Genomic DNA, 15,707 nt, shown 5'->3' with positions numbered 1-15,707 from the left:
CTTTTGTAGTATTGATTATGTATACATGACATAGTTCATTTTGCAACCACCCACCTATAGTAACTGACTCAGGTGAAGGTCATCCGTGAATGCAACAACCTTCAGGTCAAAGTCTGTTGGGGAACTGGAGAGTCACAGGGTCTTAAAGCATCACCCTGAAAACTAGTTGTTAATTTAAAAACATGGAAAAGGCATCTTTTTATGATGGAATCCGAGGGACACCACCTTCACCAAGGGATAACACTTAGCATCCCCAGCAGTGGGGCGGACATATGTCATGCAACTCCTGAGGCAAGACGGTAGGAAGAACCCCTGCCACCTATGGAAATCTCCTGCCCAAGTGTCTAACCTGGGTGTAATGATGAGCATACAGTTGGCCAAATCTAGGTGCTGTCCATAAAATCTGGACTCTTCAAAACCTTGATGTCATGAAAGACAACAGAAAATCAGGAGAAGTGTTCTAGATTAAAGGACACTAAAAAAATCGGTCTAATGCAGTGCAAAATCCTTAATTAGATCTTGGGTCATAAAACAATATATGAAGGAAATTTGGGGGCAATTGGGCAATTTTACTATGTGCTAGATAGTAGATAATGTTAGTGTTTAAATGTTAAATTCCTTGGGTGTGGTTACAGTATTGAAGTTTTTAGTCTAGCTCCCTATCCTGGAGTCTAAATAGCTTTTATTTATTTTATATATGTTATGGGCTGGCTTGTGTATTCCCACAATTCGTATGTTGAAATCTTAACCCCTAGTACCTCAGAATGTGGTTATATTTGGAGATAGGGTCTTAAAAAGGTAATTGAGTTACAATGAGGCTGTCAGGGTGGGTCTTAATTCTATGTGACTGGTATCCATATAAGAATATCAGACACACAGACCACCAAGAGGAAAGGACATGAGAAAATAGTGAGAAAGTGGCCACACACAAGCCAAGGAGAGTAGCCTCAGAAGGAAGCAGCCGCTCTGACACCTTCATCTCAAACTTTCAGCCTCCAGAGCTGAGACAATGAGTGTCTGTCGTTTATGGCACCCAGTCTTGGTGCTTTGTTGTGGCCGTGCTAGCAAAGTGAAACAATACATTTTTAAAAACTGACTCTTTGGGAGTCCCCATGCACTTGGAGTCCATGAGCCAATGGGATATGGAAAGATGCTTAACCATTTCAGGGCTGGTTTCTCTGTTCATATTCAACTCTGCTGCTTAGAAACAGGGACCCATGCTGATGCCCAAGGGCAAAAAGCCTCACTTCCTTTAAGGAAGATGAGCAGGCCTGACCCTGATGCCCAATAACAGGCAATCCTAGGCTTTTTGATTTTCTTGCTTTTATTCCTTTTTGTTGGTGACCTTGTGCTGTTTGTTTATAAATGATCTATTTTGTTTAACCAAATATTAAAAATGGAAAACTCCGTATATAAAAAAATTGACTCTTTGGAACATTGAGCAAACATGATTCAAAGGGAGTGATTGTGAAAGCTAGGGCCTGTGCTGAGCCTTCTCTGATTGGCCTTAGGTGATTAAAAAGAGTCCTGTGGTCACTTTAAGTCACGTTTCAGTAATTGAGAGTGTCCAAGTCCAAGTCATTGAAAAATGTGTCCTCTCCCCTCCTGAGTGCCACCGAGGGTTGGTGGTTTATGGCGGGAGGTGAGATAGTCCTTCTTTAGGTACATTTCTCTCTTCTTGCCCCACTCTGGAGCAGAGGAGACCTAAGGCAACAGGAGTGTTCACCTGTGACTAGTGCTCTGCTCAGAGGCTATCTCCCAGTTATCTGGGCTCCTTCTGGCGCAGGCTTTTCTGGGATCCTGGCAGCCCCGTTCCTCTGGTTTGCCCTTCTCTCAGCATGGACCTTCTCTGTTGGAGTCCTACCGCCCCCGTTGGGCAGGATGAAGAACAGTCCTGGCTGTTTCTCTCTCCCATGTGGCCACATCAAGCGCACAACCTACTCTTCCCCCTTCACATTGTCCTGGTTTCTGGTGTAGCTGCTGTCCACGCAGAGGTCATGTGCCATGCAGCCGGTGCAGCTTCGGCTTCAGAGCTATGACTTGCCCGGGCCCCTTCCCAGATCCTGAGGGCCCCACCAGGTGCTTCCATGGTAATTTGATATTCACGTCCATAGCAAGGGGATCCCAGATTGTGTACGCTGCAGGCTCCACAGAACCTGGATCCGCCCTTTCTCCCAATATGGGTCTTTTTTCTCTCAGCCCTGAAGCTCAAGAGCCACAACCACCTGCTGCCCTAGTCCTCAGCTATGTATCACCTGCCAGCCCTTGTGTCCCCCAAACTCAGAGGTACACCCCACATCCTGCTGAAGGTCCTCCCCAGAGCCCCTCCCACTGAGTAAGAGGTGAGGGGCACACTCCCCTTCATCCACTCCCCTCAGCCCTCCCAGCACACAAGCCACTCTCTGCTCAACATCCTTCTTCAGAAACGGTCTCTCTCCACTCGACTCTTACTCTTGTTGCAAGCCATCTTCTTTGTGAATTCTGCATCCGGCCTCTCAACACCTTGAGGTGTGGCATCTATTGGATTTGGACATTTCCATTGAAATTCCCAATTGAGCATCCAGTTGCATTTAAACACATTTATTTTAAATGGGAACACTACATCAAAGATTGCTAGGGCTAGCTATATTTTAGTTAAATATACCTGATAATAAGTTTCTATAGACTGAATGTTGGTGTCCCCTCAAAATACCTGCTGAAATGGAATCCCCCATGTGATAATGTTAGGAGGTGGTGCCTTTGGGAGATGACAAGGTCGTGAGGGTGGAGCCCTCGTGGTTGGATTAGTGCCCATAAACAAGAGGCTCCAGAGACATCCGGTTTCCCCCTTCCCATGGTGCAGGGACACGGTAAGAAGGCACCACCTAAGAATCAGATAGTGGGCCCTCAGCAGACACTGAATCTGCCAGCACCTTGACCTTGAACTTGCCAGGTGTGAGATAAATTTCTGTTGTTTATAAGCTCCCCAGTCTATGGTATTTTGTTATGGCAGCTTGAAGGGTAAGGGATAAGCATGCAGTTGGCACACCATGTCCAAGGGTTCTGCATCATGGATTCAACCAACTGCAGATCAAAGATTTTTTTAAAAAAAATCCAATAAAAATAACATATAACAATAAAAAGTAATACAAATAAAACAATACAGCATGATGACTATTTAAATCACATTACCTTATATTAGGCATTATAAGTAATCCAGAGATGATTTAAAGTATAAGAGAGGATGTATGTAGGTATGTGAAGAGGATGTATGTATGTATATAAATACAACACTATTTCATATCAGGGACTTGAGCATCCACGGATTTTGGTCTCCTCAGGGGCCAATCGCCACACGTACCAAGGGATGACTATGCTGGAATAATGTTGCAATCGAAGTGGAACAATTAGCATTTAAAATGTTTGACCTTGTACCACCTACAATCATTGCATGCATCCCCAGTGGTAACTGCACCATCCTTTGGGAACCACTCGGCTAGCGGGACACCAAGGCAAGACTCTGTGCAAAAGCACACCCAGAGCTTGACCTGGTTGGCTTGGAGAGGGAGAGAGAAATCGCTCAACATAATTCAGCAAGAAGCTTGCTGAGACTTCTCTAGCAGACTGGGGAACAGTGAGTGGTAGGGGACCTAGGATAGGAGAAGCTGGGTTGGGTGAGAGGGGCTGGGGAATTTTGAGCAGGGACAGGGATGTCTAGTGATTAGTGTCAACCTACTTGCTGTGATGCTATGTACACTTTCCCCTTCATTTCCTGCCACATGGCTTCAGGATAGGGGGCCAGATTCTCACCTCACCCCCAGGGTTCTTAGGCTCTGAACAAAGGCCGATTGGGGTGGGAGGATATCATTAGAATAACCTAACAGAGTCCATACCTTCCCACCTGGTGCCCCTAACGGAAGGGGGCATGCTCTTATGTATCACTTAGCTGTTGCTGTGTAACAATTACCCTATAACCTAGTGGCTTGAAAACATAAACATTATTTCTTATAAGTCTACAGTTTGGCTGGGCAATTCTGATAATCTTAGGTGGGCTCGCTCATGCATCCGGGGCCAGTGAGGGTCGGCAAGGCAGCTCTGTTGATATAGGCTGGAGTCTGTCACTCGTTTGAGGGTTTGCTGGGTGGAGGCTGGTCTAGGATGGCCTACAAGCTTTCTTCTGGGTTCCCCAGCAGGTTCACCCGAGCTTGTTTACATTGCAGATGAACTGCACAGTGTCACTTTCACTTCCACCCCGTTCTACTGATAAGGCAAGTCACAGGCCAGCCCAGACTGAAGGGGCAGGAGAATGGACCTCACATCTCGATGGGAAGAAGTATGCAGCCATATTGCAAGGGCACAGACACAGGGAGGGATGCAGAATTGGGACCATGTTTGCGTCAATCTATCACATCTTGCACCCTGTGACTAGAGGCTCCTGGGAAGACCTCCAGCAGAGGCCATTGCTGCTCTCCCTCCTGTGGGTTGCTCCCTCAATGTAGTCTCCGGTGTGAGAGGCACATGTCGATCCAGGCTGGGGTTGGACTGATGTGGTGGACACTGCAAAAGAGCCCCAGAGCCGAAGGGTCAATATGCAGCAGCCCTGTGGCCAGCCACACCGGGGCTGGGTCTGGGAGTCATGGGGGCCTCTGGTGGGCAGTGGAGAGCCGTCCACATCGAGGTGGAGAGGCTGCCCGGGCTCTCAGCCCTGCTCCAGTGCAGCCAGCCAGGGGGGAACGGCAGTGCCAGAAGAAACTGGGAAATCATCTCCCGGCCTCGAGACGTCCTGGGCAGGGAACTGAAGGACTGGGGGCACAGATGGTGTTTTTTATCTTGCATTCCAATTGGCGGCTAAGGCTTTGGAAGAGAAAGGAGCATATGGGAACTGAACAGCTGGCTAAGTAGATGCAATTGAAGAACAAGATTTGATTTTCTGGACCATGGCTTAAGACGGGTTCTTGGCTGGGGCCTAATATTAACAATCTTAATATGCGTTTGCACAGGACTTAACTGTTTAGAAATCACTTTGGCTGATCTGCCATTTCATTGTCACTTTACATTAACTGGAGTTGAGGGAGGGTGGATTTCTACCCCATATCACAGATGAGGTGAGAGAGGAGAGATCCCCTGCCCTTTTAGATGCTAGAGCTGGTAGGTGTCAGGGCCAGCCTAGAATTCAAGTCTGTTTGACTCCAAAATCCATGCTCTTTTTAGCATTTCACATGTGAACATGTGAGCATTGCTTAGAGCAATGTTTTTCTACCTCTTTGTGACCCATAGAAATAAGAACTTTACATTGAGACTGAGGATGTGTGTGTATGTGTGCCTATGTGTGTATTTGTGTATGTGTGCATATGTGTATGTGTGCATATATATGTATATGTGTAGCATGTGTGTGCATGTGTGTAGTGTGTATATATGTGTGCATATGGGTGTAGTGTGTGTATGTTTGCCTGTGTGTGTAGTGTGTAGTGTATGTCTGCCTATGTATGTGTAGTGTACGTGTGCATATGACTGTATGTGTGTATAGTGTGTGTAGTGTGTGTCTATGTATGTGTAGTGTGTATGTGTGTAGTGCATCTGTGTGTATAGATGTGTGTAGCACGTGTATGTCTGTCTATGTGTGTGTAGCATGTGTATGTGTGCCTGTGTGCATGTGCATGTAGTGTGTGCATGTGTGCATGTGTGTATAGTGTGTGGTGTGTGTCTATGTATAGTGTGTATAAGTGTAGTGTATGTGTGTGTATAGATGGGTATGTAGCATGTGTATGTGTCTGTGTGTGTAGCATGTGTGTGCATGCGTGCATATGTGTGTAGTATATATATGCTGTATACATGTGTAGTGTAAGTATGTTTGTAGCATGTGCATGTGTGCCTATGTGTGTAGTGTGTGCATGTGTATATACATGTGTAGTGTATGTGTGTATATATGTGTGTTGCATGTGTATGTGTGCATAAGTGTTTGTGTAATGTGCGTATGTGTGCATACGTGTGTGTGCACGCCTATGTGCATGTAGTGTGTGGGCATGTGTGGGTAGTATGTGTATGTGTGCCTATGTGTGTGTGCGCATATGCGTGCATACATGTGTGTAGTGTGTGTATCTGCATATGTGTGTATGTGTGTGTAGCTTGTGTTTGTCTACTATTTGTGAAAAATAACATCAGAGGGAGATGTACACTGGTTCACAGAAGAAGATAGCTGGGAAGAGGGTCCCCCGCATGCCTGGCAGCCTGTGGACAGAGGATGGAGAACGCGTAGCCTCCTTTGTGCCTGGGCCTCTCATGCGCCCTGCCCGGGGAGCGGGTGCTCCAAGCCTGAGGCCCTGCCCTCTCCTTGCCTGCCTGCTCTGTGGCTGCTGTGGGGCACAGTCCTGAGGCCGAGGGAAGGCACTGGCTGCTCCGCGCCCGCTCATGGCGTCCCCTGCCTTCCCTGGCCCCTCACCTGCGGTCCCACCTCCCGCCCTCGACCTCAGGGCGGGGCGCGACTCGGGCCCATGGAGCGTCTGCCGCCCAGGACCGAGCTGGACACCTCTGCCTGCCCCAGACCGGGGAGTCGCTCCCAAATCGGAGCTCCGCCTCTGTGCCTCCTCTGGAACGTGCGTGTCCGTGCCTCCCGTGCCCCGCCGGAGTCTCAGGTGAGAGCCATGCGCGCCAGCTGTGCCGCAGCCTCGCAACTCCACCCAAGAGCGTCGTATCCGCGGGCACTGAGAGGTCGGGGACAGGCGTCCCAGGTGCGGCTCCGGGGCCCCTCCAGCGGGCTGCAGGCTGCTCCTCTCCGGCGGTCACCTCCCCTTCCCCACGCGCCTCCCCGCAGCTGCCGCCCGCCTGGCGGACACATGCCCTCCTTGACACCCGCCACGGGAGGAGGCTCAGCAGGTGCACTGAAGGGCCCGAGCCCAGCCCACCACCATCAGACTCCGCGGCGGAAGTTGCTTCCTTACAAATTATCCTTCCCGTCTCCTAATGACTTCCAGGGGAACGTCTGGATTTGGTGCTAGCATGTTTAACACCTTTATAATACTTGCTAATCTCTCTGCTCTAACAAAGAGAAAGTAGGCCTGGGGCTTAGAGTCCTGCCAGGCTGCGGTATCAAATTAGGGCTTAACAACTTTATTGTGACTTCATTGTGCTTTCTTGTAGTCGCATTATGGAAAATGAGACTCTCTTCCATTTGTGAAGAGGTATAAAGTGTCCTGTTAGGTATACACTAAATGTAAATTAAAGAAATGCAAAAAACCAAAGAAAATTTAAGTATAAATTAAGACATAATGAATATTTGAGAAAGCATAATTTGAGAAAGTCTGAAATAAGGGAAGGGAGGGAAGTGGGTAGCTGAGGTGTTTGGCAGCTGTGTGGGATCAAGAGGGTGTGGGTGATGGTGGGCCAGCATGCTGACACCTCACACAGGCAGGAGGGAAGTGGGCATCTGGGACCACACCTGAGGTACCAACGGCCCGCCGAGGCCTCTTGTCAAGGCTTCTCAACTCAGCCCCCTTCCTTTACCACCATATCCCTAGGTGTGGACACACCTCTACTGGAGGGTCAAGACACGACTGTGGTTTCTGGAATTGCTGAGCTGCACCCATAAGAAAGTTGACTGACAGGATATCCACCTGCCAGGGGCTGGGGTTGGGTAAGCCCAGGCCCAACTCGGGGGAACTTGTCCATCTTCTCTGAGCCCCAGGGTGCTTGCTGTGGTCCCAGCGCACTGGCCAGCTCTTTCCCAGCACACCCCTCAGTCTGAATCTTGATAATTATGGAGAACTGCCTGTCACACTCCTAAACAGAGTATCTGTCCCGACTACCCCCCGCTGTGCCTGCCTTTCCTCATGCCCAGGTTCAGCAGGACTCTTTTGGGTGCTTAGATAAAGGTACTGCGACAGCTGATCTAACCAGGGTAGAGCGAACCTTGTTGGTTACTCACCCATATCCACCACTGCCTGTTACTGCTATTATTTTCTGTATCACTACAGCCCCAGTCCTGTCTGGGTGTCCACTGTCCTCCATGGAACCCTGGGGAGGGGTAGGTCTTAACTAGCCTAAGCCAATGATAGTAATTTCATTTCTCTAGTCATTGGGCTTAGGAAGAAGCAGGTGACCTGATTCCAGCCATGGAGACCTGAGGTTGCCTCTGTAATGCCTGGAATTTTGGCAACCATCTTGGGATCATGAGGAACGTCAGCCTGAAGGAAACGTGCTGAGAAAGACAAAGAAAGGGGGAAGGCTCTGGGACCTGTGGCTTTTCACTGAGCAGGATGATAAAGTCTGTTAGCTAAGCCACATTAAATTGGGTTTTCTGCTGCTTGCAGTCAAAAATATAGCCCAACTGACATGCAGACGGAGGGCAACGAGCCAATACCCAGCCTGTCTGTCTGCAACTCTCCTTGTCTTTCCCACCTCTTTTCAATTCTCCTCTGAGAAGCTTGGTGTTTTCTTCTATCCTACTTTCTGCAGGCTGAGGGCATGAAAGCGGCTGTGGGAAGCTTCTTTGGCCTATTCCCTCTCCTGGAACTCCATGAAATGTGAGATGGGGGCCACTCCTCAGCTGGGCGTGCCACCCAGCAACTGCTGGGCTCCAGCTTCTCCTGCATGCAGCAAAGCTTGGAAGCCCCTCAGCCCCGCCACACTGTACTCACCTTCATCCAGTGCAGCTATGCAGGGCCTGCTCCAGACACCTCCCGAGGTCCCTCCATCCGACCACATCTAGATCAGAGGCTGCCAAGGAGGCTCAGGACAGCATAGACTTGAATGGCAGGGGACAAGCTCAGGATGGCCTGAGACCTGAATGTTTCTTTTCATGAGACTATATGGTGTACAATATGATGTTTTGATATAAGTATACATTTTGAAATGATTAAATTGAGCCAATTAGCATATTGATGACTTCACATACTTATCAATTTTTTGGGGGGTGTGAGTACATTCAGGATCTACTTTCAGTAATTTTCAAGTATACATACATTATTATTAACTAAAAATGCACCTTGAATAGCATACTGTGCAATAGATCTCCGGAACTTATTTATCCTGTCCCTTTGACCAATATCTCCCTATCCTCCTCATCCCCTAGTCCCTAGCAACCACCGTTTTTCTCTCTGCTTCTATAAGGTCAACTTCTTAGATTCCACACATAAATGAGGTCATATAGTATTTGTTTTTTTGTTAATGACTTATTTCACTTAGCACAGTGTCCTCCAGGTTCATCTATGTTGTCACAAATGGCAGGATTTTCTTCTTTTTTAGGGCTGCATTGTATCCCATGTGTCTATATTCCATATTTTCTTTATCCATTCATCTGTTGATGGATACTTAGGTTGATTTCATATCTTGGCTATTGTGAACAGTGCTACAATGAATGAGTATAGATATGTCTTCAACATACTGATTTCATTTCCTTTGAGTGTATATCTAGAAACGGGATTGTTGGATCAAATGGTAGTTCTATTTTTAGTTTTTTGAGAAACCTCTAAACTATTTTCAATAATGGCTGTACTAATTTACATTCCCATCAACAGTGTACAAGGGTTCCCTTTTCTCCACATCGTCACTAGCACCTGTTATCATTTGTCTTTTTGATAATAGCTGTTCTAACAGGTGTGAGATGATATCTCATCACAGTTGTCATTTGCATTTTCCTGATGATTAGTGACATTGAGTATTTTTCATACACCTCTTGACCATTTTTATGTCCCTTTTTGAGAAATGTCTATTCAGGTCCTCCAACCATTTTTAAATCAAGTTATTAGTTTTCTTGCTATTGAGTTGTTTGAATTCCTTATATAGTTTTGATATTAACCCTTTATCAGATGGTTTGCAAATGTTTTCTCCTATTCCATAGCTTGTCTCTTCACTCTGTTGATTGTTTCCTTTGCTGTGCAGAAGCTTTTAAGTTCAATGCAATTTCTTTGATCTATTTTACTTTTGCTGCCTGTGCTTTTGGGGCCATATCCAAAAAAAATCATTTCCCAGACCAGCATCATGGAGTTTTCCCCTGTTTTCTTCTAGTAATTTTACAGTTTCAGGTCTTACATTTAAGTCTTTAATGAATTTTAAGTTGATTTTCATATGTGGTATGAGATGAGGATCTAAGTTTATATTTTTGCATATGGATTTCACAACACCATTTATTGAAGAAACTGTCTATTCTCTATTTTACATTCTTGAAAACTTTGTCAAAGATCAATTGACCAAAACTGCATGAAGTTATGTCTGGGATCTCTAATCTGTTCCATTGGCATCTGTGTCTGTTTTTATGCCACTACCATGCTGTTTTGATTACTATAGCTTTGTAGTATATTTTGAAATCAGGGGCTGTGATGCTTTCAGCTTTGTTTTTTTCCCCTGAAGATTGCTTTGACTCTTTGGGGTCTTTTGTGGTTCCAAACAAATTTTAAGATTCTTTTTTTCCCTTCCTGTGAAAAATGACATTGGGATTCTTGCAGGGATTTCTTTGAATCTGTAGATTGCTTGGGTAGTTTGGACATTTTCACAATATTAATTTTTCAAATGCATGGACCTGGCTATCTTTCCATGTATTCATGTCTTCTCCAATTTCTTTCTTCAATGTATTACAGTTTTCTGTGTAGAGATCTTTTAATTCTTTGGTTAAATTCATTTCTAAGTATTTTATTCTTTGTGATGTCATTGTAAATCAGATTGCTTTCTTAATTTCTTTATTAGACTGTTTATTGTTGATATATAGAAATACAACTGATTTTTGTATTTTGATTTTGTATTCTATAAGTTTTCTAAATTCATTTATTCTAATAGTTTTGGGGTGGAGCCTTTAGGGTTTTCTATATATAAGATCATGCCATCTGGAATCATGCCATCTGGAACAGACAATTTAACTTTTTCCATTCCAATTTGGATGCCTTTTATTACTTTTTTATTGAGTAATTTCTCTGGCTAGGACTTTCAGTACTACGTAGAATAGAAGTGGCAAGAGTGGGCATCCTTGTATTGTCCTTGTTCTTAGAGGAAAAGCTTTCAGCTTTTCACCCTTGAATGTGATATTAGGTTGGCTTGTCATATATGGCCTTTATTATGTTGAGGTACATTCTTTCTAAATCTAATTTATTGAGAGGTTTTTTTTTTTATCATGAAAGAATGTTAAATGTTGTTGAACACTTTTTTTTTTTTTTTTGGCGGAGTTTCTCTCTTGTCACCCAGGCTGGAGTTCGATGGCGTGATCTCGGCTCCCTACAACCTCCACCTCCTGGGTTCAAGAGATTCTCCCATCTCAGCCTCCTGAGTAGCTGGGATTACAGGCGTGTGCCATGACACCCAGAAAATTTTCGTATTGTTAGTAGAGATGGGGTTTCATCACGTTGGCCAGGCTGGTCTTGAACTCCTGACCTCAGGTGACCCACCTGCCTCGGTCTCCCAAAGTGCTGGGGTTACAGGTGTGAGCCACCACTCCTGGCCTTGTTGAACACTTTTTATGCATTCATTGAGATGTTCATATTATTTTTGTCAATGTGGTGTGTCACATTTATTGATTTGTGTATATTGAACCATACTTGTATCCCACAGATAAATCCCACTTAATCATGGTGAATGCTCTTTTTAATGTGTTGTTGAATTCTGTTTGTTAGTATTTTGTTAAGGATTTTTATATCTATATTCATCAGGGATATTGGCCTATAATTTTCTTTTCTTGTTGTGTTCTTAGCTGGCTTTGGTATGACGGTAATGATGGCCTCATAAAACAGATTTGGAAGTGTTCCTTTATTTTCAATTTTTTGGAAGAGTTTGAGAAAGGTTGGCATTAATTCTTTTTTAAATGCTTGATAGAATTTGCCTGTAAAGCCATATGGTCCTGGAATTTTCTTTGTTGAGAAGTTTTGTATTACTGATTCAATCTTACATGTTGTTAATTTGTTCAGCTTTTCTATTTCTTCATGATTCAGTCTTGGTAGGTTGCATGTTTCAAGAAATTTATCAATTTCTTTTAGGTTATCAAATTTGTTGGCACATAATTGTTCATAGTAGTCTCTTAGCATCTTTGCATTTTTGTGGCATCTGTTGTAATATCTCCTTTTTCATTTAAAACTTTATTTATTTGACTCCTCTCTCCTTTTTCTAGGTTAGTCTAGCTATATGTTTTCAACTTTATTTTTTCCCAGAAAACATCTCTTAGTTTTATTGATCTTTCCTATTGTCTTTATAGTCTCTATTTCATCTCTAATCTTTATTTCCTTCCTGCTGTTGACTTTGGGTTTTAGTTTTTCTTCTTTTTCTGGTTCCTTGAGGTGTAAAGTTAGGGTGTTTACTTCAGATTTTTTTAAAAAATTGGCATTTACTACTCTAAACTTCCTTCATAAAAAATGTATTTGCTGCATCCCATAAGTTTTGGTATGTTGTGTTTCCATTTTTATTTGTCTCAAGATACTTTTTGAGTTCCTTTTGTATTTCTTCTTTGATTTATTGGTTGTTCAGGAGTGTGTTTAATTTTGTGGCCCAGCATATGATCTATCCTGGAGAATGTTCCATGTGTGCTTGAGAAGAAAATATATCCCACTGTTGTTGAGTGGAATGCTCTATAAATGTCTGTTAGGTCCATTCAGTCTACAGTGTTATTCAAGGCCACTGTTTTCTTATTGATTTTCTGTCTGGAGGATCTATTTATTGTTGAAAGTGAGGTATTGAAATCCCTTAGTATTTCTATATCGTTCATCTCTCCCTTCAATTCTATTAATATTTGCTTTATATATTTAGATGCTCCAATGTGGAGTGCACAAATATTTACAATTACTGTATCCTCTTGATGAATCGACAGCTTTATCATTATATAGTGACCTTTGTCACTTGTGACAAGTTTTGACTGAAAGTCTACTTTGCCTTATATTAGTAGAGGCACTTCTGCTTTCTTTTGGTTATCATTTGCATGGAATATCTTTTCCATCCCTTCACTTTCAGGCTCTATGTGACCTCAAAGCTAAAATGAGCCTCTTGTAGCCAGCATGTTGTTGGATATTAATTGTTGTTTTTAAAATTCATTCAGCTATACTATGTATTTTGATTAGAGAATTTAATTCATTTACATTTAAAGTAATTATTGATGTGGAAAGACTTACTATTGCCATTCTGTTTATTGTGTTTGGACTGTTCTGTAGTTCTTTTGCTTCTTTCTCCCTTGCTGTCTTCCTTCGTGATTTGTTGACTTTTTGTATCCATATGCTTTGATTCTTTTCTCTTTATTTTTTGTGTATCTACTACAGGTCTTCTCATTGTGGTTTCCATGAAGCTTACCGAAAACATCATATAGTTATAATATCTATTTTAATCTGATAACAACTTAATTTTAATTGCATATGAACACTACATTTTACCTCTTCACTGCTCCCCCTTGTTTTATGATATGAATGCCATACTTTACTTTTTTCATATTGTGTATCCATTAGCAAATTACTAAATCTATGGTTTTTAAAATACTCTTTTTAACTTTTACAATAGGGTTAAAAGTGATTTATATGTCATCATTATAATATTAGAGTATTCTGAATTTGACTATATATTTATTTTTGCCAGTAAGTATTACACTTTCATATGTTTTTATGTTGTTACTTAGCATCACTTTTTTTCAACCAAAAGAATTTTCTATAGTATTTCTTTAAGGCAGATCTCATGGAGATAAAATCCTTCAGCTTTTATTTGTCTGGGACAAACCAAATTGTCTTAGACAAATAAAAGCTGAGGGCTTTTATCCTTCAGATATGAAAATTGAAAGGATAGAAGGACTCTATTCTTCAGAAATGAAAGCTTTGCTGAATACAGTGTCCTTGGTTGGCAGGTTTTTTCTTTCAGTACTTTAAAAATATCATCTAATTCCCAAACTAGCTTCCAAGTTTTCTGCTGAGAAGTCCACTGATAGCCTTATGTGGGTTCCCTTGTAATTGATAAGTCTCTTTTTTTATGCTGCTTTCAGGGTTCTCTTTGTCTTTGTCTTTTGACAATTTGATTAGAATGTGCCTTGGAATATTCTTCTTTGGGTTAATTTTTCGTGGGATCCTTTGAGCTTCATGCATCTGGATGTCTGTCCCAAGATTTGGGATTTTTTTTCTTTTAAAGCCAGTATTTCTTTAAATAAGTTTTCTGTCTCTTTCCTCTCTTTTCTCCTTCTGAGACTCCCATAATTTGTATATTTATCCTCTTGATGGTGTCCCATAGGTGTCTTATGCTTCACTTTTTTTTCATTCATTTTTCTTTCTGTTCCTCTGGTTGGCTATTTTCAAATGACCTGTCTTTGACTTCACTGATTATTTCTTCTGCATGATTGAATCTGCTGTTGAAACTCTCTTGTATTTTTTAGTTCTTTCATTTTTTCTTTAGCTCCAGTATTTCTGTTTGGTTCGTTTTAATGGTTCCTGTTTCTTTATTAAACTCATTTTGTTTATGCATTTTTTTCTTATTTCATTTAGTTGTCCGTATTGTCTTGCCTCTCACTGAGCTTCTATAAGATGTTTATTTTGAATTATTTTTCAGGAAATTTATAGATCTCCATTTCTTTGGGGCCAATTACTGAAGCTTTATTAGTTTTTTTGGTGGTGTCATACTTGCTTGATTCTTTGTCATCTGCGTAGCCTTGTGAATTTGAAAGAGGAAACACCTCTTTAGTCTTTATAGACTGGTTTTGGCAGATGAAGACCTCCCCCTGGGTCCCTGACCTCATGGGACTGCTTCTGGGGTTGTAGCCAAGTGGGATTTCACCTGGATTATGTGGATACTGTTGCATCTGCAGTGGGGTCTGCGGCTAGTGGGCTTTGGTGCTGGCAAAAAGTCAGCAGCCTGTTACCAGGGGTTTGAAGGATTGTAAATCCTGTCTGGTCCCTGGGTGGCCTGGATTGCCTTTAGGACCTTGGTAAGTAGGGGCTGGTGCTGGGATGGGAGTCTGATTCAGGGTCCACAGACAGTGGGTCTGGTACTAAGTATGTGGATAGGTGTGGCTTCCTCCAAGTTCCTTGGAAGCCTTCCACTGGGTCAGTGATTAGGTCCCTGGGCAGGCAGTACTGGCCTCAGGCCATGGCTGAGAGGGGCTGGAACTGAGTCATAAAGATGCTTAAGAGTCCACAGCTGAGATTAAGTTCTGCAGCCTTGTCTCTGGTGGTACAGACAAGCAGGTCTCCCTCTGGATCCTTGGGCTGGCAAGACAGTGCTTTAAGACATCAGTGGAGAGGAAGTGGAGCCAAGTTACAAGACTGTTTTAAGATCTACAGTGGCACTGGGCTTGGTGGGTCTACCTACAGAGGCATGGGCAGGTAAAAGTGATTTCATGACGTGTGGTTTTTCTATTTCTTTGTAGGTTTCTGCTCATCAATTTTTACCTTTTAAATAGATTTTTCCCTTTTGTTTTTACTATTTAATTTGTTTCATTAGGTATTAGGGTAGGAGATTCTGTGATCCGGCTTCATTTCATTGTCTTTACCCAAATTTCAGCTTGGCCAGCCTCTGTAGCCCTCTTTCCTGAGCAAGCCACTTTGTCACAAACCCCATGAGGAATGGTACCTATCTCAAGCAAAGCAGAGGTATATCTGCCATCACTCTGCAGCTTTGCATCTTAAAAGTAAACAGTCCAGAAGCTGCAGTTTCTTTTCCAGCACCAGGCCTGCTAATGGGGGCAATAGACGACCCTGCCACATTGACACTGAGTTATAAGACATTCTTCTGTAATTCTTGCTTATTACAAAACAAAGTAGAATTCTGTGAGTTTAGCTCAGCATAAGTGTTAA

At 43.1% G+C, this 15,707-nt stretch overlaps 1 long non-coding RNA gene across 1 annotated transcript in view, besides 1 other annotated feature; it reads left to right on the top strand.

Moving 5' to 3' along the window:
* LINC02016 (long intergenic non-protein coding RNA 2016) overlaps positions 1-15,707 on the top strand; it is a 68,364-nt gene that overhangs the window by 45,841 nt on the left and 6,816 nt on the right. The window lies entirely within an intron of this gene.
* Positions 6,595-7,254: an enhancer, noted in NCBI's record as "H3K27ac-H3K4me1 hESC enhancer chr3:127056419-127057078 (GRCh37/hg19 assembly coordinates)". NCBI's record gives its function as "activates a minimal SCP1, AML or CMV promoter by ChIP-STARR-seq in primed H9 embryonic stem cells {active_cell/tissue: H9 hESC(primed)}" and the evidence as "EXISTENCE:reporter gene assay evidence [ECO:0000049][PMID:30033119]".

The sequence above is a fragment of the Homo sapiens genome, chromosome 3, assembly GCF_000001405.40.
Source record: "Homo sapiens chromosome 3, GRCh38.p14 Primary Assembly".
Lineage (NCBI taxonomy): Eukaryota > Metazoa > Chordata > Mammalia > Primates > Hominidae > Homo > Homo sapiens.
This window is presented reverse-complemented; position numbering and strand designations above follow the sequence as displayed.